This window comes from Homo sapiens, chromosome 13 (assembly GCF_000001405.40).
Source record: "Homo sapiens chromosome 13, GRCh38.p14 Primary Assembly".
In the NCBI taxonomy this organism is placed as follows: Eukaryota; Metazoa; Chordata; class Mammalia; order Primates; family Hominidae; genus Homo; species Homo sapiens.
The window spans coordinates 29,929,258-29,952,276 of record NC_000013.11 but is presented as its reverse complement, the minus strand read 5'-3'; the positions used below and the strand labels follow the sequence as shown (position 1 = coordinate 29,952,276).

At 46.3% G+C, this 23,019-nt stretch overlaps 1 long non-coding RNA gene across 1 annotated transcript, besides 3 other annotated features; it reads right to left on the bottom strand.

Moving 5' to 3' along the window:
- Positions 1–1,788: 1,788 nt before the first annotated feature.
- LINC00544 (long intergenic non-protein coding RNA 544) lies at positions 1,789–15,746 on the bottom strand. The gene is made up of 5 exons (NR_033889.1): positions 15,576–15,746; positions 14,996–15,075; positions 14,268–14,371; positions 4,506–4,674; positions 1,789–1,960 (listed from the first exon to the last, which is right to left on the bottom strand). It is a non-coding gene; the product is annotated as a long intergenic non-protein coding RNA 544 (long non-coding RNA).
- Positions 16,313–16,432: an enhancer, noted in NCBI's record as "active region_7529". NCBI's record gives its function as "activates an Ori minimal core promoter by ATAC-STARR-seq in GM12878 lymphoblastoid cells {active_cell/tissue: GM12878}" and the evidence as "EXISTENCE:reporter gene assay evidence [ECO:0000049][PMID:35858748]".
- Positions 16,563–16,682: an enhancer, noted in NCBI's record as "active region_7528". NCBI's record gives its function as "activates an Ori minimal core promoter by ATAC-STARR-seq in GM12878 lymphoblastoid cells {active_cell/tissue: GM12878}" and the evidence as "EXISTENCE:reporter gene assay evidence [ECO:0000049][PMID:35858748]".
- Positions 17,403–17,462: an enhancer, noted in NCBI's record as "active region_7527". NCBI's record gives its function as "activates an Ori minimal core promoter by ATAC-STARR-seq in GM12878 lymphoblastoid cells {active_cell/tissue: GM12878}" and the evidence as "EXISTENCE:reporter gene assay evidence [ECO:0000049][PMID:35858748]".

Genomic DNA, 23,019 nt, shown 5'->3' with positions numbered 1-23,019 from the left:
CTTTCTACTTTATTTTAGCTGTGCAGGCTGTTCCAAACCCTGGGATGAGAATTCTCAACATCTTTACCACTTGGGGTGGACAGAGTGAGCCTAATTTCCTCTTCCATGAAATTCTCCTAAACCTTAGAGTCAAGAAGGCCTTCGTCACATCAAGCAGTGCTGTACTGAATCACTAAATTGGAGTGAGGCTTATACTGGGTGTGGTTCAATATCCCTTATTAAAAAGAAAGTGATGAGTTTAATAAAAATTTAACTGAGCCTCCTGCCTTTCGGTGTTCCTTAGATACTATGGAAATGGCTGGGGCGTGCTGAGCTAAGTTGCTAGGATAGGAAGCTGAGGAAGGGTGTTTAGACCCCTGTGTGTTTCGAAATAGTTGATCACCCTGGTCACTGCATCCCCCAGACTCTCAAGATTCTATGCTTGGCAGGACAATGTTTATAGTGATTAAAAGTACACACTTTGGAGTCAACTAGACATGGATTCCAATCCCAGACTGATAGGGTTTGTCTCTGTGTCCCCACCCAAATCTCATGTTGAATTTTAATTCTCAATGTTGGAGGTGGGGCCTGGTGGGAGGTGATTGGATCGTGAGGTGGTTTCTAATGGTTTAGCACCACCACCCTAGTGCTGTCTTGTGATCGAGTTCTCAAGAGACCTCAAAAGTATATAGCACCTCCCCCTTCGCTCTCTTCCTCCTGCTCCAAACATGTAGGACGTGCCTGCTTCCCCTTTGTCTTCTGCCATGAAAGTAAGTTTCCCGAGGCCTCCCTAGCCAGGCTTCCTGTATGGCCTGCAGAACCATGAGCCAATTAAACCTCTTTTCTTCATAAATTGCCCAGTCTCAGGTAGTTCTTTTTTTTTTTTTTTCTTTTTTGAGACAGAGTCTTGCTCTTTTGCCCAGGCAGGAGTGCAATGGCACAATCTCAGCTCACTGCAACCTCCGCCTCCTGGGTTCAAATGATTCTCCTGCCTCAACCTCCTGATTAGCTGGGATTACAGGCATGCACCACCATGCCTGGCTAATTTTTGTATTTTTAGTAGAGATGCGGTTTCACCACATTGGCCAGGCTGGTCTCAAACTCTTGACCTCGTGATCCCTCCACCTCAGCCTCCCAAAGTGTTGGGATTACAGGCATGATCCACCTTGCCCAGCCATCAGGTAGTTCTTTATAGCAATGTGAGAATGGACCAATACACAGACACACCACTTACTGACTATGAAATCATGAGCAAGTCAGTTGAACTCTCTGGACCTTGGTTTTTCTTACTGTAAAATAGTGATGCTGTCTCCTAAGTCTATTGTGAGCAATAAATTAATTAATGCCTGTTAATTAGTTATCACAGAGCCTGGCATGCAATAAAATATTAAAACTCTTTTTTAGCTGGGTACAGTGGCTCACGCCTGTAATCCCAGCACTTTGGGAGACCAAGGAAGGAAGATTGCTTGGGCCCAGGAGTTCGAGACCAGCCTGGGCAACATGGCAAAATCTTGTCTCTACAAAAAAAAAAAAAAATTTAGCTGAGTGTGCTGGCGCATGCACGTAGTCCCAACTGCTCAGGAGGCTGAGGTGGGAGGATTGTTTGAGCCCAGGAGACAGAGGCCATGAGCCGATATTACACCATGCCACTGCACTCCAGCCTGGGTGACAGAGTGAGAGCACGTCTCAAAAATCAAACAAACAAAACAACAACAACAACAACAAAATCACGTAATCTTTTAAAAAAAGTTAACTGTTGTTACAGTAGGAGCTGAGAGAAGATATATTTTTGACAATGTGAAGCTATTCCCAAGAGACCAGAATATTTAATGAGATATTACTGTTTGCATAACCCCACAGGACGCATCATGGAATATGTAGAGGAAGGAAACATTTCAGCATCAACAGCTTTCCTCTGGGTTTTCTTGTTTGTGGCATTCTAATCATTAGAAAATTGAAGCTGTAAACAGATGTTCATTTTCTGGAATACAAGGAAACACTCTCTGAATTGGTAATTGAAATCTACACATAAGCCTACAGCATCATATTTGTATTATTACTATCAAAATTCTCAGCACCAAAAAACATGCATAAGAGCTACATCAAGGACTTGCCTTGGAGTGCCCTCCTCCCCAGCTCTTGCCTACATTCTGGAGAGATACTAAGCTGCCCAGTTAAGTCATGTACCATGAAACAGCAGGGAGAAAAAAGAGAAAGAAAGACCTACATATACCACAGGCCAAATGGACACCTCCCAGGACGGAGAGCCTGAGACTGTGAGACCCAACAGGGTTGCAGGGCATGGGTTCCCAAAGGCTCTGGCCTCTGCTTGGGAGCTAAAGAAGCCTGGAAGCTTGGAGTAAATCGTGGGTGTTATTTTCAGTTGCTGAGTAAGTTATTAAGAGTAACCAAAAAGAGAAATATGCGTGAGACTGGATTGCAGGAGGAGGAAAGTGAGGTACCTCCATGCAGGGCGTGCAGAGATGGGAGACAGAGAGAAACAGACAGAAAACGAGAAAGACAGAAAACGAGAAAAACAGAAAGAGACGGAGAGACAGAGAAAGAGAGAAATGGAGAAAGAGGTAACAGAGACAGAGAAACAAGAAACAGAGGGAAACAGAGATGGAAACAGACACAAAAACAGAGAGAGACAGAAAGACAGAGAGAGAGACAGAGAGAGAGAGAGAGAGAGAGAGATACACAGACTCCTCCCAGGAACCCAGATCTGGCCCCTTTAGGACATAAGGACAAAGTGGTTAAGGAAAAGAGGGAATTCAGGGTCTCATTTTCTTTAAGAGTTGGAGCCTTTCTCTAGGGTCAGGATACACTGAAATAGGTTCATCTTGAGTTGCAAGCACCCCTACTTTCCGTGTCATAAACTACGAATCAGGAGGATGGCAGAGCAAGGTGGGGCGGATACATGCCAGGTGCCAGTCCCCACTGCATCAGCACGGGGAGAACCCAGCTGCTCATGGCTTCAAAGGAACCTACGGGGTCTCCAGAGTCCTGGGCAGTGCTGCAGAGCACCACGCTCCCTTCCCCTGGACCTGGTTGGCTGGGCAGAGACACAGATCTTGGCAAGACCAGGGCTATAACTTCAGTGCCCGGGATAACAACCAACCCGAGAACACTAATAATTTAACCCAGCAACTGAAAATAACACCCATAATTTACTCCTAGCTTCCGACTTCCCTTAGCTCTCAAAACAGTCTTTAGAGCCTCCAGGAATCTCTGTGTGCCACAGTCCCTCTATTTACCCCTTCCTGCCAGTGGGGTTTTCCTCGGAGCCCTCCTCCTGCAGGGCATGGCGAGGTGAGACTATGAAGGCCACTGTCCCTGAGCAGCCACCGCCAGGGCACTCGCTCCTCTGCTGGTGGGGCTTGGAGGACCGTGGCCAATATACAGAAACGTCCAGGAAGGTGCCTCTTGGATGGTAATATCACTTTTCACTCATGGCAAGTTTCATTTGGACTAAAAACAAGTGAGTATGTCTTCCTTTTCCCTCCCCCAAATCTAGATGTAGGGGTGTCAGGTCTCCCCCTTCACGTCTGTGGCGGTGGAAGGAGGTGGGAGGAGGTAGGAGAAGCTGGCCCCACACAGGAGAATGTGGCTTGCTGTCTTCTCCCCTCCCGGAGCTGCCCACGGCTGTGGATTAAGCAGGAGTGGAGAGGCGCTCCAGACTCTTCCTTTCACTTCCTGCACTGACAGATCAATTTGGAGTAATTTATTTATAAGCTGGATTAGTAAGTCTCCATAGAGTAAACACAGTGCTCCTGAATATAGAAATGTAGAGGAATCCCTTCCCAGCTGTTCCCAGGCTGGAGCTAAATGCTTTGGGGATGAGGACGTGGGAGGGATGAGGAAGGTGTGTCACCCAGGCACACTCAGGGTTCCTGGGCCACAGCAAACAGAAAGCAAGAGCCGAGCCACCCCGCCAGGAACAGATGTCCAAAAACAGTCTTCATGAAATCCCTCCTCCCTCCGGAATCCTGTCCCCGGCTCCGGGGTGGGCTCACAGTGACTGCTCTGTGCCACAGAGGACACAGAGTGCTCTTACGAACGTCCTTGGTCCTCTCTCTAGAATGACCTATCCAGAGCACACCTTTGAGTCTCTGCCATTTGGTAATACAATGGGCGGTTTAATATAAAAAGAAACCCACGCCTGGTCTCTGAAACGCGCTGGCCTGCGCTGGCGGTGGGAGACAAAAGACTCATCGCTAAGCACAACCCTCCACTCTGTCAAACGCAATGGGAGAGATTCTAAAATGAGGCTGGTCATCACCTGCTCTGGGACCCCGGGCCCTCCTCATATTGAGAAGAGATGCCTTGTTACAAGGCCCTGTCACATGATTTTTCTCTCTCTGTGCAGGAAGATGGTTTTCATAAATAGCAAAAGGTCTGTCTGTGGGACAGTCATTTACCCGTGCTTCTAGAAAAAATCCTTGCTCTGCTGGCCACTAAAGATGAATAGGCCCCAGCCTTGAGGCTCGGGACTGGCCACGAGGCAGCTGCAGAAGAGCACTAACCTGGACACAGCCAGAGAGGTGCACAGGGACAGCCGCTTCTGAGAATTTCACTCCACACGTGACGGCCAGAGGAAAGGGAGAATTGATGTGGCAGGTCCTGAGCTGGGACATGAGAAGCCATGGCCAGGTCAGTCTTCCACGACTCTTCTTGTGCCAGTACCTTGTGGAACTGATATAATTCTGGATGTATGAGCAGTTTTCATACAACACTCTCCCTAAAGCATCGTAATACCTGGGACGGAGAAGGGCTTTTCGAAGGCTACTCTGCCTATGTGCCAACTCTGCCCTACTCTCTTGCTGATGCTAAGAACCAGTGTAGGGGAGAAAAGGTAACATCTTTTCCTCACCCATTTCTAGGCTCATGGCTGAGGCCCCTGTAACAAAAGATAGCGCAACAAGAAAAAAGCATACAAATTGATTTAGTGTAAGTTTTATGCGACACAGAAGTCTTCAGCAAGGAAGACCCCCGAAGGAAGGTCTTTTATGTTAGGTTTGATGCAGAGTGGACAACAATGGATAAGTGTAATTGGACAAAGGGGCATGATCTAATGGTCATAAATTTTTTTTCTTTTTTTGTTGAGACAGAGTCTTACTCTGTCACCCAGGCTGGAGTGCAGTGGCATGATCTTGATTCACTGCAACCTCCACCTCCTAGGTTCAAGTGATTCTCCTGCTTCAGCCTACCAAGGAGCTCGAATTATAGGCGCGTGCCATGGCACCCAGCTAATTTTTGTATTTTTAATAGAAATGGGGTTTCACAGTGTTAGCCAGGCTGGTCTCGAATTCCTGACCTCAGTTGATCCACCCATCTCGGCCTCCCAAAGTGCTGGGATTATAGGCGTGAGCCACCCTACTAATGGTTATTAATTGAGGAGAACTAGTCAGGCCTACTTGCTCAGATTCTTCTATGTGTCCCCGAGTTTTCAGATAGGGACATTCCTTTCCTCCAGGTGTGGAGGGGGGGTACCATCACAAGAGGGTCTTATTACTTCCTTTAGTCATTGATGGCATGCTTCAGGGGAGAAGAGTAGGAGAAGGTCAGAGAGAACTGTGTCTGCTGCTTTCTTAAATGCCAAGGTGCCGTATTTTGCATAGCATGTCCTGAACCCAATCACTAGCCGTGCAGTGATGACTCCATTGAAATTCAGGTGGTGTGAAGTCCTCTAGGAGCCCCATTAGAATTAAACAGATTGTTCAGATTCTTTAGAATTAGAGGGACCCTGACAGATACGTGTGTCTGCCCAAACACACACATGTGGAAAAGAACAGAGCTAGAAAGGCCTCCGAGAGGAGATGGTATTTGAGCTGCAGCTTGTAGCAAAAGTCGAACTGTTCCAGTCAGACAAGAGAGGGGATCGAAACAAACTCTGAAGCCAAGAGCACCAAGGAGGGTTATCAGGTAGGTGTGGAGCAGACTTTTGCTCCTCCGCAGAGGTCCTGCTTTTGTGTACAAACTTCAGCTTGCGAGCTTAGAGCAGAGAGGAACTTGGGAACATTCAGTCCAGACGTCTTTTTATAGATAAGGAAGCTGGGGCTCAGAGAAGGTCAAACAGATTGTCTAAGCACAATTACTTTGCTGCTGAAGGAGAGAAGCATTTTGTTCCACAAAGCCCTAATATGCATGGGATGAACACAACCTAACATACATCTTGCTTGACACCTGTGATGTTTGGCCCACATACAGCACCTCACTTGGTGTTGTATCTGTATGGAAATAAATGGCCTGTTAGGCTGAAATGATCTATGGACGACCTTCAGGGCTTTGGAGATGGTCTCTTTCAGGGCAGGTCACTTTAAAACCAATAATATGGAAGCAGGGAAGATGCCTCTGGTGGCTAAGGAAGTCTGTCTCCTGCATTTTTATGCTGGGCACTTTTCATTAGATAAGTAAGTATATGTCAGAAAAACGTGAAAAAAAACCCATCTGTGTCTATAACTAATTAAAAAGATGTGTGATCAACAAACACCCTCTTCTCCTACAACCAGGGAACAAACAGCTCATTACTTTCCTTAAAAGCCATCCTGGAAACCTTTCCCGGGGAAAATGCGCTGAGCATTGATTATCTATCTACACCCATCATAGCCACACGGCACATTATTCCATTTGTTGGGAGACCTTACTTTACCGGTTGCAGACCAAGTTTCCAGAGTAGAAAGCATGGTCTTAGTCTCACCCCAACTAATGGTTCTTCAGAGGTCTCCCAAAACTCCTGCCGCCTCTTCTGCACGTTAATGAAAATAAATGGCACCAATCTCAATGTTCTTTGCCTCAGACCAAATGGGGCCAGGAGCTTAGAAGCAAGAAGCTGAGGCATCAGCAGGGTACTCCCAGGACAGGGCTTCCTTTGGCTGTGATCATTACGTGATTCCCTGACAGGCTGCTGTTTTCGTCGACGGTGTCCGTAACTCACTGACTGAAATCTTTGACCTCTGTAGTACAGATGGGATCCATTTGCTGCCAGTAATGATGTGTGACCTCTTGGTGAAGGCAGGGGAAGAAAAGAAGCTGAAGAGATCTTCAATATTTTTGAGAATGCATTACAGGGATTCAAGAGTGTCAAAAAGAGACATGGGTGATGAGGAAAGGAATAAACTACTCGCTTTTTTTTTTTTTTTTTTTTTTTTTTTTTTTTTTTTTTTGAGACGGAGTCTTGCTCTGTCGCCCAGGCTGGAGTGCAATGTCGTGATCTTGGCTCACTGCAACCTCCACCTCCCAGGTTCAAGCGATTCTCCTGCCTCAGCCTCCCAAGTTGCTGGGACTACAGGCGCCCACCAACACGCCCAGCTAATTTTTGTATTTTTAGTAGAGACGGGGTTTCTCCATGTTGGCCAGGCTGGTCTCGAACTCCTGACTTCAGGTGATCCACCCACCTTGGCTTCCCAAAGTGCTGGGATCACAGGCGTGAGCCACCGCACCTGGCCACTACTACCATCTTTTAACAGAAGTTCAGAGCTTCACACGGGTAGAATCATGTATGGAAAGGATTTGATGAAGATTCAGGGTGGAACATGCCCTGGGGCAGCACACAGTCAGAGCCATAATTCAAGGCCCTTTTCAGCTCATCACCTTATTTCTTTCCTTAAGATTTCCCAAGTGAGGCCTGGCACTGTGGCTCACATCTGTAATCCCAGCATTTTGGGAGGCTGAGGTGGGCAGATCGCTTGAGCCCAGAGTTCCAGACCAGCCTGGGCAACATGGTGAAACCCCATCTCTGCAAAAAGCACAAAAATCAGCCGGGCGCGGTGGCACAAGCCTGTAGTCCCAGCTACCTGAAAGGGTGAGGTGGGAGGATCACTTGAGCCTGGCAAGCTGAGGCTGCAGTAAGCCGTGAGCATGTCACTGCACTCCAGCCTGGGTGACAGAGTGAGACCCTGTCTTAAAAAAAAGAAAAGATTTCCCAAGTGAGGGCCCAGCTCTTCTCCAGCACTTCTCAAGGCACCGACCACCAGCCAAGGGCACCCTCTCCCTCCTTCATCGCTGAATGCTCCTGGTCAGCCAGAAGGAGGGGTGTGAAGGCCTCAGCAGGTTGATGCCTGCACCGCCTCCTTCACAGGCTCACAGAGAAAGCCCCTGCTCTTCAGACTGGGGAAGCATCTTCGTTCCTCTTTATTCATCTTCCCAGTACCCACAGAGACTAGCAGAGTGTACTGTACAAAGAGGGTAACAGATATTTGTAGAATATTCCTTGAAGAAATGAATGGAGAAACATCGACAGGGTATGGTTCTAATACGCTCACATTGACCTCTTCCACCAGGTTTGAAGATATTATTTCCCTTTCCTCTCAGTCCCAGTGGTCCTGAGGCCCAGGTTGGAGCCACTGTTCTCTCACCCACCTGAAAGCTGACTCATCAACTTCCCTGGATCCCAGACATGGATTTTCCCTGAAACCAACTCTTCCTGTCTTGGGAAGCCGGCTCAGGTCAGTGCCTGACCGTTTCCTGGGAGAGGCTCTGGTAAGGCCAGCCTCGGCCTTTCCTTCATCTACTTCTGCTCCGAGAAAGTTCCTCATTCTTTTTTCTCTTTAGACATTACGTTATTTTTCCTGCTAAGTGTTACGGTAACACATAGTAATCATAGAAAATTTGCAAAATAAAAGAAAGTATAAAGAAACAAACCAACGAAACCCCCCAATGATTTCTAAAGGGCCTGTGTTTCTAGTCCTTGCTCCATTCGGGTCCCCTCCTTTCTTCTGCAAACTTCCTGCTTGTAATCCTCTTTGTGGGAGGACTCTCACATTAGCATTTCAGGTCTCTTTATCTTTGGAGCCAAATATTAGCATAAGAATTAGCATATTATAACCCAATTACTTTTCAGTTACAAACAATCTCAACCAGATTGGGGTTATTCTTAATTTGCATAGTTTTGACAAGGGGGTGAGAGATGCAATGGGAAACTGTGGTGTTCTCAAGTAAACATAACAAAGGTTTGCTTTGGAGATGAATGTGGCTTGGAAACAAATAAAAAGATAAGACATAATGAGAGGATGTGGAGGCTTCTGCGATGGGTGAGTGCTGTTCTGCCCAGAGAACCATGGAATAAATGATTTCTCACCATCCCTTCCAGCCTCTTATAATGTAACATGGTTTCAGGAAAATAATAGGGCTTATCGAGAGAGTTCTCTCATAGCAGAACAGGCCAGCTGCCAGTTCCCTGTAGGTCTTCATGAAGTTTACCCAGGATCCCTGTCAAGGGAGACAGTGAAGAACTTCAGGATACTTCAGGAGACTCTCCATCCCCATCTTCCCAGGAAGCTGGGTGTCTCCCAGGACAATGCATCTAAATACCTACATAGATGGGCATCAGTGAGCTAACACATGCTTGGTCAGTGTAAGAGAATAACCAAATTGCCACTATTCCAGAATAGGCGTGCTATCTAATTACCATAAGATCCCAAGAATCTATTGCAGATCTACCATATGGACAGAGCTGTACTAGGTAGGTACAGCCTAGTTAGTGAATGCTTCTTAGGATCAGTATGAAAATGAGACCAAGAGAACTCTTATTGAGGGATCTGAATCAGATATAAACAGCAGGATCACTAGATTTTCTCGGAGAGGGCAAAGTGGACTTTCTAGTGTTATGCAAATGTTGGATATCTACAAGCTTTCACCCCCAGACTCCACAAAGCATGAGTGAGCACTGTAGATTTCACTAAACACTATGTTAGGGAGATGGAGACGAAGTTACAGAGCACAACACATGGTATTTCACTGTAAAATTTCTTATTAGACATCTCTTTCCTAGTCTTTGTTCTCAGCATTAAACATTTTCTCTTTATTTAACAACCTTTCATTGGTTTCAACCTCTGGTCCTGCACTGTACTGAGAGCTTCTGAGGTTGTGCGGAGCCAGGCACATGCCTGGGTGGGTGCAACCCCAATGACCAAGGAGCTGGCCAAGCTGGTTGAGGTGAGGAGATACCGACCAGGGAGAAAGAAGGCAGGACATGGGCAAAGGCAGAGATACCGTACTGGCTGTGGCTGTGCAGTGTCATGCCAGAAGTGACAAAAGATGAGACGTTGCCTGCAACTGTGAGGGAGCTTTGCCTTCATCTGTAGAGACTCAGAAGTTCATCAAAGGACTTATTTACTGGTCTGGTTTCCATCTTTACTTTTGTCTGCCTTGGCCTCCATGTGTTCTGGAAACGTATCAGTGATAACTTCTAGCCAAATACCTGTCACATATTTGAAAGCAATAATGTTTCGTTACTTGAGTTTTCCTCTTTAGCTTCAGTAGTTCTGACTCTTTAGCCTTTCCTCATGGGGCCTCTTTTCCATCATGAGTCCTGCCCTTTTGTTTGTGTCATTCTTCTCTGGATTGTCTCAAGTCTTTCCATGTACTTTGAAAAGTGCAGTAATCCAAATGGCATGTGGCTCCCTATGAGCGGGAAGCATAAGAAAATGACTTCTAGCTTCCCATACAATTTTCTCTTTAATGTGTTGTAGAATTATAATTTGTGCCCCAGAATAACACAATACGGTTGGCATGTTTTCCAGCTTGGAGTGGGTTATAATTTCTAACCATTCCCCCTATTTTTACCAGCTGGTCTCTAGACAGCTTATATGAATCCACATCCATTGATCTTAGTGTGCCAGTTAGCATTACTGTCCAGGGTCCATTTTGTTTTAATCATCTTAGTTTATATTTTACTGTACATCTGCCATAAATCCTGGATTTCTTCCCTTCTACCCACAGAAAAATCTGGTTCTAGAAAATAAGGTGCTGGGTGTCTTCTGAACATAGCTTAAACAATGCATTGTCTGCAAGCCTTAGAAGTAGCTAAAAGGCAAGCTCTGCGGATTATTTACAGGTGACTTATCAGTGTCTCAAATCTAAATTCTGATTATTATGCAATTCCCTCTTTTTAGGCTGTCATCATTTTTCATTACTTAAGGACTATCTCGGCTCTTGGGCCTTCACTAAATTGTTACTGTCAGGATTTGGGGAGTTATTTTGAAACCTATCAGCAGTGGGTGACCTCCTGGCATCCTGATTCAGAGTTTTCCATAATCCCCACTACTACAATTGTTAAATTGTTACCTGTGTAAAGCCTCCTCCTTTTTATAATTGAGTAAAATTAATTTCCTTTCTTCCTGGTGTAAATTTAGTTGATCTCATTTACCCTTTGTTAGGAAATGGTAATGTGTTGATTAAATTAAGGGCTTCACATGGATTTAGAATAGTTTTATGTGGGGAGGAGTTGCCGGGAGATTTTCTCAGAGGCTGATAAATAGCTAAAGAGAAATAGAGAGTTAACAGTGACATGAAGAGAGAAATACAAAGCTTTTTTGAATGTGCAAGCAGCTGTTAGCTTAAGGACATTGGTTACATATGAATTTTAGCTTTGGATTGAGAGTTTTCTAGTGTAAAGTTCAAATGCTGAAGACCTCTGGGAATGGTGCCACCATTTTTCTTCTGTTTAATCCTAACTAGAAAAGGTAGGGGAGGAAATAGTGCATAGGGTTTTTTTTCTTCCCATTAAAACAAAAATTGGTGTAAAAAGGAGTGAAGAGTTATGGAGAAGGCTCAAATCATTATATGCAGGAAGATTTCATTCATTAGAGAGAGTACATTTAATAGAACAGTAACTTTTCTTTTGTTTTCGTGTGTGTGTGTGTGTGTGTGTGTGTGTGTGTGTGTGTGTGTGTCAGAGTTTCGCTCTTGTAGCCCATGCTGGAGGGCAGTGGTGCGATTTCAGCTCACTGCAACCTCCACCTCCTGGGTTCAAGTGATTCTCCTGCCTCAGCTTTCTGAGTAGCTGAGATTACAGGCATGCACCACCACACCTGGCAAGTTTTTGTATTTTTAGTAGAGATGGGGTTTCACTACATTGGGAAGGCTGGTCTCAAACTCCTGACCTCAGGTGATCCGCCTACCTCGGCCTCCCAAAGTGCTGGCATTACAGGCGTGAGCCACCACGCCTAGCCAGAACAGTAACTTTTCAATGAGCTTTCCCAACTGTCTCTCTGGTGATAACCCTGTCGGGGATCCAGGGCAAGTCCTGCCACCCCCATCGTATAGTGGGGGATGAGCTTGGGGTTCCAGAGTGAGGTAGAGGCTGAGCTAGAGGTGAGCCTGTGCACATCTTACTGTCAGCACCACCTTCACCCAGCGCCATCACCAAAGATCACATCAGTAGGATTCAGGATGGAGACCAAAAGAGCCAAGAGAAGGCAGTGAAGACATTGCATAATGCTTATTAGTGAAGGTAACCACTCTTTCAAGGCTATCTGTGTCCTAGTCAAGGCACTGGTGACACACCGAATAACACAGTGGATGCAGCCTGACGTATCCCACTGTGAGTGACACTATGAATGAAGGCTACGCTGAGAAATCTGAAAGGTGCAGTAAAGGAAAAGGGAGAAACTGGCAAGACAAAGGGGAATTCAATCAAGACGTGTAAGTGGCTCTTCAAATTTCATACACCTGACTGACCTAATGGTTAAAAACTCAACGGCTGTGCTTATTCATTTATTCACTGATATTTTAAAACAAAAGTATCTTGAGCACCAGCTGCATGGCAGGTACTGTAGCTGGAGGCAAGAGATCCAGGGAGCATGGACATGGGCCCTGGCTGGAGCATCTTGGAAGGACAGTGGAGGCAACGACCATGTGGGTTGGGACTAAGGTCTTGCCTGGTGACATCTGAGCTCTCCTCAGCCTCCAAGTCCTCTCTCAAAGCCACAGCTTCATCCTTCTGCCCTTACACCTCGCTGATTTGCCTGATACCCTCTCTAAACTCCCCTTGCACTATGCCCTGTGTCACATGCTCCTCTGTGATTTAGTTTTTAATGACTTTCCCTATTCTAGAGCATCCTTCAACACATCCAAAGGGCAGAAACAATGCCTTTTCCCGCACACGAGGCCTCCTCCATGGTGGGGAGTTTGTGCATATTTTCATTTTTTGCCAACTCATCGTCACAGATCAATCTCCCTCTTATTCATGTGTCCCTTACAATTTTAGTAGATCCTCACATCCCTAAGCTTGGATCCTTTCCTTTCAGAGGCTTTGCATACCGCATTTCCCTAACAACTCTATAACCACGGGGTGCTTCTAGGAGTTTTGGTCTTCCCTTTTTGAGGCTTGGCCAAGATCATAAACCAGACCTAAGGGTGCCCACCTCTGTCAGGTGAAGAGGACACAGCAAAGCCACCTAAAATTGTCTCCTCCACTGGTTTTTCACATTATCTGAACCTCCACTATCATATTTACTCTTGTCACAGTCACTGTGTGAGAAAAATAATTTTTTTAAGAGTGGAAATGAGAAGATGAAAAGGGAAAAGGAAAGCATCACAATGCCACCCTTTGAGCCAAGAACTTTATTTAATTTTTTCCATGTCATATGGAATTGTACGTAGTTTCAGGTTTTCTTTTAAAAGCCTTTTGGCTCTTGAGTCAGGCTAGAATCCTAGATATGAATCCCACCTCTGCTCATTACTAGCTGGGTGATTTGGGGCAAGGGGCTGAACCTCTCTGTGCCTCAGTTTTCTCATCTGTAAAATGTGATTAACAGCAGCACCTACCTCATAAGGTTGTTGTAGGATTAAATGAGTTAATACAGTAAAGTGCCTGGCACATAGTGAGCACTCAGAAAAATGCTGGCTGTTATGAGGAAAGCAGGATATCTGGGCAGGATTGACAAAGGAGTGTGGCCGCACAACCACACAGATTTCTGTCAATTGTCTACGTAATAACTGTTGCTTCCAAGCAGCTCTCTGGCCAAGCCTTCCCCTGGGGACCCGGGCACTAAGGACACGAGGAAGCCCAGTGGAAAGGCCAGGCCAAGGGAGCGCTGAGGTCTGGGCCTGGCTGAGCATCTCCATGAGGGGCCCTCCGACAGCAGGTGGGAGGGCGAGATCAGGGCAAAGGGGGCCTGTGAGGAAGAGGGGATCATTACAGAGAGAACCAAGAGGAGTACAGGGTCAGCTCAGCCCACTTAGCACCTTTGCACCTGCCGGCCCTGATGACCGGCCATGATCGTTCCATTTTGGGGCTTTTGAAGAGGTGGGGAGGTCCTGGGCCCAGCCAGGACGAGACTGGGGAGTGTTCTGCGGCTGAGTTTGGCTGTGTAATTAAAGCCCTGGTGTCTAGTGCCGAGAAGAAAAGAGAAAACAGCATTGGAACCCAACTGGCAGATGTGCTTGTTGTGCTGAGAGAAATTCACAGAACCTTGTGGTGCCATCTGGCTGAGAGCTGACTGTTTGCATGATGCAGTTCTCACTTAAGGAGGTGAAGCATCAAACTCCCTGGCCCCACCCACCTGCCTCTGCATCTGGGCAGCTGAAGGTAAGGGCACTCAGCAGCCCCGATGTAATGCCACATCCCAGTGTGCTCAGGAGGAAGCCACCAATCTTTGTTCTCTGCCTAAGGAAAGAAAAACAGCTAAAACAAAGCATTCTAGGACTGACCTTTGGTACAATGTTGGAAATATGAAAGAAATATAAATGTAACATTTTAAATTTCTGAAACGAGGAATAATTATCAATTTCATATACACAAAGTAAGCCCAGTAGGCAGGCCTACTAGAGCAGTGGTCTCCAAATTTTTTGGCATTAGGGACGGGTTTCATGGAAGACAATTTTTCCACAGATGGGGTCCGGGGGATGATTTTGGAATGAAACTGTTTTGCCTCATCCTCAGGCATTAGATTCTCATAAGAAGCACCCAACCTAGAGCCCTCACTTGCGCAATTCACAATAGAGTTCACGCTTCTATGAGACTCTTATGCTACCGGCTGATCCGACAGGAGGCAGAGCTCACGTGGTAACGCTCACTTGCCCACCGCTCACCCCCGGTTGTGTGGCCCGGTTCCTAACAGGCCACAGACTGGGACTGGGACCTGCCCGAGGCTGTGGGGTTGGGGATCCCTGTGCTAGAGGCTCTCAGAAGCATTCTCCATCTCCAGATAATATTCTGTCCCTCCACATGTGAAGGAGACACAGAGCTTTCCTGATGGAGCCTGGCAGGTCTGTCTGTCTTTATACACACCCATTGTATAGAGAAGTATTCTGGATCCAGGGTATATCATGATCATTGTCAATTTTCAGAACATCTCCTGGGCTGGTGAACTGTGGTTAGATAATAAAGAGTTGCTGGTGAAATGCCTCAGGGTGTGGTTAGAAAAAAGAAAGAAAAACAAGTGGTAATATAGGGTGCGGGGGGAGGTATGGGGAGGCTGGGTAACTGTGATTTTTAACTCAAGAAGGAAAAAGGGAGAGGAGAAAAAATGAAGACTCTATAGCTCATCTAGAGTGAGCCAAATTGGATCCCAAACACTAACACTTAATGCACTAAAAACTGTATAATTCAAACATCTCTCAACACAGAAGATGGGTACCACGTGTGTAACAAAACATAATTGAGCTGAGGTGAATCCCTGTCCTTAAAAGAGGTTTATAAGCTAATAGTGGTGATGAAGGTGAGGAAGACTCTTAGTTCCACTCAGAAAGTGAGAGGATCTGAATACTCCAGAAAAGGAAAAAGATAAGAGGAGAGATGAAATGAGATTGGCAAATTGTTGATGATTGTTGAAACTGAGCAATGAGTATTGAAAGGCAGGGATCATTACCTGACTCTTCTATCCAGGAGGCCGTTAGTGGACCAGGAAGTCAGGACAAGATCTGAGGTGAAGAGCTGGTGAGGAGTGAGACAGCTGCCAAGGTCCACCTTGTTCCCCTAAGGAGCTGAGCTCTTTCTCTTCCTTCCTTTTAGACAGGTTCATTAAAGCTGGCCCACTCCACATGACCTAGAAGGACTGGGTCAACCCTGAAAGGTTTGCTCCATAGCCCAGAATGACAACCTCTGACATCACAAATGCAGGATTGGAGAAGGCATAGTTGGCATGCAAGCCGTATTGATTTTTTTACAAATCAGAGCTTCATGCTTGCTGCTGAGAACATTTCACCGGGCCACGAAGCTGCTGCAGGAAGTTTTCAAGTCCTCTCCTCTACACCGTGACCTTAACTTAGAGAGCACTCTCAGCCCCTCCTCCCATCCCCCCGCACCTGCCCAGGTGGGCCCCACTGCTCTCCACACCCACACCCACCTGGTCGTTGCTCTCTACCGAGGAGGCTCTCCCTGCTTTGCTGTGCTTTTGTCAACTTTCCTGCAGCTTCCCTGTTCTGGGAGGCTGAGCTAGAGTGGAAACGACCAGCTTCCCCAAACAGGCAGCTCCGAGAAGGCGTCTGCTCCGCGTCTGCTCCCACTGAGCCAAGGTCCAGCCCAAACGCTCAAATTAGAGCTTGTTAGCCAATTGCTGAAAAACTGCAGGGGGACTCATTTGTAAGCAAACTAATGAGACATCCCAGGATAGAAAGCCTGGTTTTATTTTTAGCATTTCAGAGCTGACACCCCAAACACCTCTATAACCACCTGCCAGTCTGAAGAGGGAACAAGCAGAGCTCAGGATGTGGTGCCGTGCGAGGGCGGTAAGTGGAAGGAAGCAGCGCATGGGGAGGGTGCCTTGGAGACCAGAGGAGCACAGCAAGGGGAGGATGCTCAGCTCTCACACCTGCTCTGTCTTGGTCATAATGAAAAAACAGCTCTGACACAGGGAGTGTGTCAGAACACCACAGTACCCTCTGGGACTGTGTGGGAAAACAAAAAACAAAAACCAAAACAAGGGAGACTCCTTCCCTCTTAACCTCAAATGGTCCCTCTTAACTCCAGACCCTTGAGCGTCTTGCTCCGCCACTGCATGGGGCAGGTGCAATGTACTCTGTGATCTGTGATCTCCTTGCTATATTCCTGGCAGGGGCTCTGCTACTGTGGGCTTTCACAGCATGACTCCAGCCTTGCTGCACTCAGGCCTCACTGTCACCAAGTGGGCTGGGGCTGCCCACCAGGGGGGCATGCAGGGCCTTTCCCTCTCCCCATGCCCTGGTCTCAGGTACACTGCTGCTGCATGCCAGCTCTTTTCTGCTGCATCCTATGCAGCCACTGGGCCACTTGCTCCTCCCAGGCAAATGCTGAAGAGACACTCTGCTCTTCAGCAGATTGGTGCACACCTATATTTAGCCACATTGTGGAATATAGTGACAATGATACTTTGTACTCAGGAGACACCTTTTATCAGAGGAGTGTGATGCACTCTGCAAACATCATCAGCACGGCACCCTTGGGGAGGAAAGACTGTGCCAAGTCTTCCAATCCCCAGGCTTACAGCTAGAGAGATTGAAGCCAGGGAGGCGGGGTGTCACCAGAATCTCCTAATGAGTCAGGAGGCCTGAACGGAGTGATGAGGTGCTCCTGGAAGGTTTTCATCACACCTGCCTCTTTCTGAGCCTGCAGAGCCTATAGTTCCCCCTAGAGCTGGTCCTCTCTCCCTCCCTGGCACAAAAGTGTTCCTTTGCTCACACAGCTGTCCCTGTGCCTGGACACACTTGTAACTTGACTTTAAAAGCCATCTGCCAGCTCACTAGAAACACAGACATGCTGTCTGTGCTGGGGCTTACATTTGCATCACCGCGGTACCTCGATGCTCAGGACAGATATTTCTACTCAAATCTATACCTTGCCTGAATGGAGCTATGAGGGTGTGACCCAGAGGAAGTGCTGTGAAACTCTGCATAAAGAGATTAGTTCAGATGCCCTCTCTTTTATGACACAGGGTAACCAATCAGATACTCCACTTCCCAGAAGTGGCTGGACACAGACTGCCCTGTAGTAGAGAGACAAAGCAGTGGGATGAGTGGGTCCTACGTAGGGATCCTCAGGGATTCCTTGGGCACAAGCAGGATCTCTCTTCTCAGAAAGAGCCAACAATACCATATGTTAGAAGCTCAAAACCAACTGTATTCTTTTCATTCTGTTATCACTGATAATTACTAGCATGCCTTTGTAGCAGATGCAACGGATGTGGCAACATTTCTCATGCCTTAGCAAGGCCGAAATGGCAAAAAGCAATGCTAACCAAAGGGTCTTTGGATAGAGAGTGTTCTGTGTAGGGGTAGAACAGTGCTTTGGTTCTGGACACAGGCTTTATATTCCCCAGACCCCAATATAAACCCCACTACATACCCTGTGCCACAACTGATGATTGACATGACTTCATAGTGAGGCGCAGTCTATGTCCTCCCTCCTCAAACCCAAGCAGATATTTGCAAATTCCTGTACCACTAGCTTATGGTGGACATGATGGGGTGTGACTTCCAAGACTAGAGTATAAAAGGCAATACCACGTCCATCTTGGCACCTTGCATTGCTCCCATGGCGAAGCCAACCTCCACGCCCTACACTCAGCAGCTCTGTTGGATAAGCCTGTGTGGAGAGAACAGAGACCTCCAGCCTCCAGCCTGTCCCAGCTTCCCAGGCAGGTGTGTGGTTGGGCCATCTTAGGAGCAGGCTGTCTAGCCCCATCACGACGTCAAATGATGGCAGGCCTAGCCAACTCATGACTGCAATTGTGATAGGGACCTCCCAGGGAGAACTACCAGACCAAGTCCTTCCTGAATTCCTCATCAACAAAGACAGAAATCATTTTTGTTTTTTAAGCTACTATGTTTGGGGGTGATGGTGTTATATAACTAAAACGCCATGGGGCAATTCGAAGCAGAAGGGTGCAGTGAGACGATGCATGGGGGAGAATCCATCTGGCCACTGTGTAGAGAACGGACTGCAGAGGAGCAAGGATCGGGGCAGGATGACCAACTATGAAAAACAGCCATAGCGGTAGTAATTATGCCTACTTCATAGAAGCATTTAAAGTATTCCATGAGATACCAGAGGTACAGTGCCTAATAATGCCTGTCTCAGAGTAGTAGCAATGATGGGCATGTCTCATTTTATTGTGCTTTGCTGTATTGCACTCTGCAGATACTGTGTTTTGTACACATTGAAGGTTTGCAGCAACCCTGTGTCAAGCAAGTATATCAGGGCCATTTTTCCAACAATAGCACTCACTTCATGACTCTGTGTCACATTTTGGTAATTCTCGCAATATTTTACATTATTATTATATCTGTTTTGATGATCTGTGATCAGTGATCTTTAATGTTACTATTGTAATTGTTTTGGTGTGCCACCAATTGCACCCACATAAGACAGCAAACTCAATCAATAAATGTATGTGTTCAGACTGCCCTGCAAATTGGCCATTACCCCATCTCTCTCCCTTTCCTTGGGCCTCCCTATTCCCTGAGACACAATAATATTGAAATTGGAACAATTAATAACCCTACAATGTCCTCTAAGTGTTTAAGTGGAAGGAAGAGTCGCATGTCTCCCACTTGACTTTGAAAGCTAGAAAAGATTCCGCTTATTAAGGAAGGCAGGCCAAAAACCTAGTTCGGCTGAAAGTGAGGCCTCTTGCTCCAAACCGTTAGCCAAGTTGTAAATGCAAAGAAAAAGTTCTTGAAAGAAATTTAAAATGTTACTCCAGTGAACACATGAATGATAAAACAGAGAAACAGCCTTATTGTTGATATGGAGAAAGTTTGACTGGTCTGGGTGGAAGTTCAAACCAGCCACAACATTCCCTTTAGCCGAAGCCTAATCCAGAGGAAGGCCCTAACTCTCTTCAATTCTGTGGAGGCTGAGAGTGGTGAGGAAGTGGCAGAAGAAAAGTTTGAAGTTAGGAGAGGTTGGTTCATGAGGTTTAAGGAAAGACGCTGTATCTATAACATAAGAGCGCAAGGTGAAACTGCAAGTGCTGATATAGAACCTACAGCAAGTTATGTAGATGCTCTAGCTAAGATCACTGATGGAGGTGGCTGCTCTGAACAATAGATTTTCAATGTATTCAAAACAGCCTTCTATTGGAAGAAGAAGCCATCTAGGACTTTCATAGCTAGAGAGGAGAAGTCAATGCCTAGCTTCAAAGCTTCAAGCGACAGGCTGACTCTCTTCTCAGGGGCTAATGTAGCTGATGATTTCAAGGTGAAGCAAGTGCTCATTGACTGTTCTAAAAATCCTTTGTCCCTTAAGAATTATGCTAAGTTTACTCTTCCTGTGTTTTGTAAATTGAACACAAAGTTTAGATGATAGCACATCTGTTTACAGCATATTTTGTTTACTGAATATTTTAAGCCAAAAATTAAGACATATTACTGAGAAAAAAACATTTCTTTCAAAATATTACTCATTACTTAGGTGCTTATTGACAGCCCACCTGTTCACAAAGGAGCTCTGATGGAGATGTACAAGGAAATGAATGTTGTTTTTCTGATAGTTTACATATAGTCATTCTGCAGCCCATGGATCAAGGAGTCATTTTGACTTTCAAGTCTTATTATTTAAGAAGTACATTTTGTAAGGTTATAACTGCTTAGTGATTCCTCTGACAGATCTAGACAAAGTAAACTGAAAACCTTCTGGAAAAGATTCACCATTCTATATGCCATTAAGAACATCTGTGATTCTTGGGAGGAAGTCAAAATATCAACACTAACCAGAGTCTGGAAGAAGTTGATTCCAGTCCTCCTGGATGACTTTGAGGGGTTCAAGACTTCAGCTGAGGAAGTCACTGGAAATAGCAAGAGAACTAGAATTAGAAGAGAAGCCTGTAAGTGAGACTGGATTGCTGCAATCTCATGATCAAACTTTAAGGGATGAGGAGTTGCTTCTTATGCACAACCAAAGACAGTGGTTTCTTAAGGTGCTGTGAACATCGTTGAAACGACAACAAAGTATTTACTCCAAAAACTTAGTTGACAAAAGGGTAAAATGTGGGTAAAATGCTATCAAACAGCACTGTATACCACAGAGAAATCTTCATGAAAGGAAGAGTCAACTGGTGCCACAAACTTCACTGTTTTCTTATTTTAAGAAATTGCCACAGTCACCCCAACCTTCAGCCACCATCACCCGGATCAGTCAGCAGCCATAACATTGAGAAGTATCCTCTACCAGCAAAAAGATGACTACTTGCTGAAGGTTCAGATGATTGTTCGCATTTTTTTTTAGCAACAAAGTATTTTAATTAAGGTATGTACATTGTTTTCATAGACATAATGCTATTGCACAGACTAGAGTATACTTTAACCATAGCTTTTGTATGCACTGGGAAGCCAAAACAATGTGCAACTCACTTTATTGTGATTTTGCTTTATTGCAGTGGTCTGGCACAGGACTCACAATATGTGTGAGGTATGCCCGTGTTAACTATCATCAGGGTAGTCAAAGGTGCTATGAGAAGGTAGGGGTAGTGGGACACAGACAAAGGAGAGTCTTTTTTTTTTTTTTTTTTGAGACGGAGTCTCACTTTATCGCCCAGGCTGGTGTGCAGTGGCGCGATCTCGGCCCACTACAAGCTCCGCCTCCCAGGTTCACACCATTCTCCTGCCTCAGCCTCCTGAGTAGCTGGGACTACAGGTGCCCGCCACCACGCCTGGCTAATTTTTCGTATTTTTTAGTAGAGACGGGGTTTCACCGTGTTAGCCAGGATGGTCTTGACCTCCTGACCTGATGATCCACCTGCCTCGGCCTCCCAGAGTGCTAGGATTACAGGCGTGAGCTGCCGTGCCCAGCCGAGTCATTCTTAAAAGTGGATACTTATGCCCCTCTTCCCTTTATATCCTCCCTGCTTTGAATGCTGTATCATTTAGAATTAAGTTCAGCCAAAGGGGCTGGGTGTGGTGGCTCATGCCTGTAATCCCAGTACTTTGGGAGGCTGAGGTGAGCAGATTGCTTGAGCCCAGGAGTTTGAGACCAGCCTGGGCAGCATGGTGAAACCCCATCTCTACAATAAATGCAAAAAAATTAGCCAGGTGTGGTGGTGCACACCTGTGGTCCCAGCTACCTGGGAGGCTGAGGTGGGAGAACACCTGAGCCCAGGAGGTCAACGCTGCAGTGAGTTGTGACTATACTTGCTGCACTCCAGCCTGGGTGATAGAGGCTCTGTCTCAACAACAACAACAACAAAAGTTCAGCCAAAGGAATAGGAAACCCAAAATAGCAGTCGCTTAAGTAAAGCAAAAATTTAGGTCTCTCCACTGTAAAAAGTCTGGAAGTAAGCAGTTCAGGGTTGGTTTGGTGACTCTGTAGTGACAGGGACTCAGGCTCCTTGTGACTTTTGCCTTACCACATGCAGCTTCCATTCCCAAGGTCACCTCATGGTCCACAATTGCCACTGGAGTGCCAACCATTACATCTGAATTCCAGCTACCTGAATGAAGAGGGGGACAAAGACGAGCATGTCCCTTCCATTTAAGGACATGTCAGAAGTTGCATACATCAGTTCCACTTGCATCTCGCTGGTCAGAACTAGGTCACATGGTTACACCAATTGGCAAAGGAGGCTAGAAAATGTATAGTCAGTCTTTATTCTGTGAAGTCAAGTGCACAGTTAAAACCTAGGGGCTCTATTACTAAGAAGAGGAAAAAGAATACTGGAGAAACAGCAAGCAGTCTACCATGTATGGACATCAGCAGATGCCCAATCCCCAGTATCGAGCATACTCAAAGACAGAAAAGGCTGTGTTTCCAACAGAAATCTAGGTAGGGGTTTGTACCATGCCTCAGATTCTCTGGGTTTCACATCTCTAAGGTCTTTGGCCCCTTTTTCTATTCCAGCTGCTGCGTGCTGAGCAACTCTGCACGGGCTGTGACCAACTTCTCAGGAGCTTGAAACTGCCTCCCATCCTAGGCATGCATGAGCAACTGCTTAGTGCCTCGCCTCCAGCCTGGGGCTTTTCTGTTGAGCTCTGTCGTGAGACATCCACGGACCACATAGTGTCTACCTGTGTCCATCCAGAAGCAAGGGGCATCACCATCTGCCGTGCCAACCTTTGACCCATAGACGAATGCAGCAAATGGCTAAACTGTATCCCTCTTTTCCCACAGAAGGGCTGTCCTGAGATGCAGCCATTCACATGGCCTGTCAGAAGATGGACCTGCAAGATTGCATCATCGATTGAGCTGAAAATCCAGCAGTAGCGAGCTCAGTTACCCATTATTGGCTCTCCCTCTTTTTCTGCCTTGCTCCCCTCTTCCCTCACTCTTCTGTCCTTAGGAAGGCACTCCCCAATCTAGAAATAGCACACATACTTTGCCTCAGGCTCTGCTTTCTAGGGAAG